The following is a 2,384-nucleotide window of genomic DNA, read 5'->3' as shown; positions in this document are numbered from 1 at the left end:
GACACACAGATTTTGATCTTTTAAAATTGTTGTTAATGGATTGGTGATTTTTATTCTTAAGTAATATTAATTTGGATAACACTAATCAAAACATCCAAAAGCATGCTACTGGAATACCTTTAAATCAGAGCTTAGACTGCCAGCGTCCTGTGATATGGGGAGGATGTATAGTCATTCTCTGGGGATTTTAATAATCTAGACTATTTTCCCAACAATTAGAATTAAAAAAGGAACATAGAGCCACCTTCTGGTTTATTGTTATTCACTTGAATTTATAACATCAAGCTGAGTAGAAAAGCCTCCTTTGATGCATCACAGTTGGAAAGCAGGAGCTTTTCTTGCATATACTATGTCAGAAGCCCTGAATGGATTTCCATCCCAGAAATGTGGATGCCTGTGACTCTGATGGTTGAGAGTTCTCTAAGGCTGTTTTAAAAGAGGCCATCGACTTTCTTAAAAGGCGTGTATATTCAAAAGAACAATACATTTTGTTTTTCATCTCCTCCAGCAATAGGGTATTTTTAAAGTTAATTCACACATTCATTCCATTTAGCCTACTTGATTTGATTTTTTTTCAGACTTGACTGCTACATCTAATACCTGGGGCACAGGCTAATTAAGTGAAACGTTTGGATGGAATTGTAGGGACTGTGCAAATTATTTTCCCCCCTTAAATGTCAAATGAATGTAGTTTTAGATTGGTAAACTAAGTAAATAGCAAATATATAATAAAGTTAATATAAGTATGATGCTATTCTGAATAGACAGGAGGAGAAGGCAGAAAGCAGAAACAAACTCCAATATCACAGATTACACTATTGTGGGACCTGTTAGCGGAGGGGCAAATGGCTTACAAAGCGCAATGATTCCTGGGGCATTAATAGGTTTTATTTCATTCCAGTGGCCTTAATTTTCAAGGTAAGTTAAGAGTCTAGGAAGAGAGGAGTATAAATTGCATGATTTTAATGGGTCTATCAGTGGTGATCTTATTAAAAAATATTTGCTGAAAAAAGAAACTTCATTTATTTAGAAATTTTTTTAAAAAACTTTTAAGTTCAGGGGTACAAGTGCAGATTTGTTACAAGTACAGGTTTGTTCTACAGATTATTTCATCACCCCAGTATTAAGCCTAGTACCTATTGGTCATTTTAACTGATGCTCTCCCTCCTCCCACCTTCCATTCTCCGAAAGTCTCCAGTGTGTTTATTTAGAAAATGCTTTTAAAAAATATTTATTTATTTATCTTCATTTTATGGTATGGAGCAGAGAGTCCATAATGAGAACACTTTATGGGAAGTTCCAACACCTAGCCCTAATGCCAAGACTGAGAATCTGATAGCATAGCTATTAAAAATTAAGTCCTCTGAAAGACTTCCATTTCTGCTAACAGAAATGCCCAAGGCAGCCGGACACTGTGTCTCCCTTTCTGTTTTAATGTAGTTGCATCAATTCTGCTATTCTGTTATGAAGCAAGCACCTAAAATGACATTTACAAAGCAGGCAAAATAAAAACAGAAGAAAAACTAGAACTATTACATGCAAAAATCTTCACCCATCCTAAGACACTATAGGTAATGTTGAAAGAGCTCTGGGAAAATTTAAAATCTGGCTGCTCAAAGTATGGTTCTTTTTTTCCCCACTTTTAAGTTCAGGGGTACCTGTGTAGGATGTGCAGGTTCATTACATAGATAAAGATGTGCCATGGCAGTTTGCCTCACAGATCATCCCATTACCTAGGTATTAAGCCCAGCATCCATTAGCTATTCTTCCGGATGCTCTCCCTCCTCCAACCTCCGACCCTCCAACAGGGCCCAGTGTGCTTTGTCTCTCTCTCCCATGTGTCCATGTGTTCTCATTATTCAGCTCCAACTTATAAATGAGAACACATATTTGGTTTTGTGTTCCTGCATTAGTTTCCTGAGGATAATGGCTTCCAGCTCCACCCATGTCCCTGCAAAGGACATGATCTTGTTTCTTTTTATGGCTGCATAGTATTCCATGGTGTGTTCTTTATCCAGTCTATCACTGGAGGGTGTTTAGATTGGTTCTAGGTCTTTGCTATTGTGAATAGTGCTGCAATGAACATACACATGCATGTATCTTTATAATAGGATTATTTATATTCCTTTGGGTATATATACAGTAATGGGATTGCTGGGTCAAATGGTATTTCTGCTTCTAGATCTTTGAGGAATTGTCTTCCATAATGTTTGAACTAATTTCCTGTCCTACCAACAGTACATAAGCATTCCTTTTTCTGACAACCTCATGAGCATCTGTAATTTTTTGACTTTTTAATAATAGCCATTCTGATTGGTGAGAAATGATATCTCACTGTGGTTTTTATTTGCATTTCTCTAATGATTAGTGACGTTGAGCTTTTT

The 2,384-nt window shown here is 36.6% G+C and overlaps 1 annotated feature.

The window, feature by feature from the left end:
- Positions 1-597: an enhancer, noted in NCBI's record as "NANOG hESC enhancer chr21:18486297-18486893 (GRCh37/hg19 assembly coordinates)". NCBI's record gives its function as "activates a minimal SCP1, AML or CMV promoter by ChIP-STARR-seq in primed H9 embryonic stem cells {active_cell/tissue: H9 hESC(primed)}" and the evidence as "EXISTENCE:reporter gene assay evidence [ECO:0000049][PMID:30033119]".

This window comes from Homo sapiens, chromosome 21 (genome assembly GCF_000001405.40).
Source record: "Homo sapiens chromosome 21, GRCh38.p14 Primary Assembly".
NCBI classification, from domain to species: Eukaryota; Metazoa; Chordata; class Mammalia; order Primates; family Hominidae; genus Homo; species Homo sapiens.
Note: the sequence above shows the minus strand (reverse complement) of the source record. Positions and strands in the feature narration are given on the sequence as shown.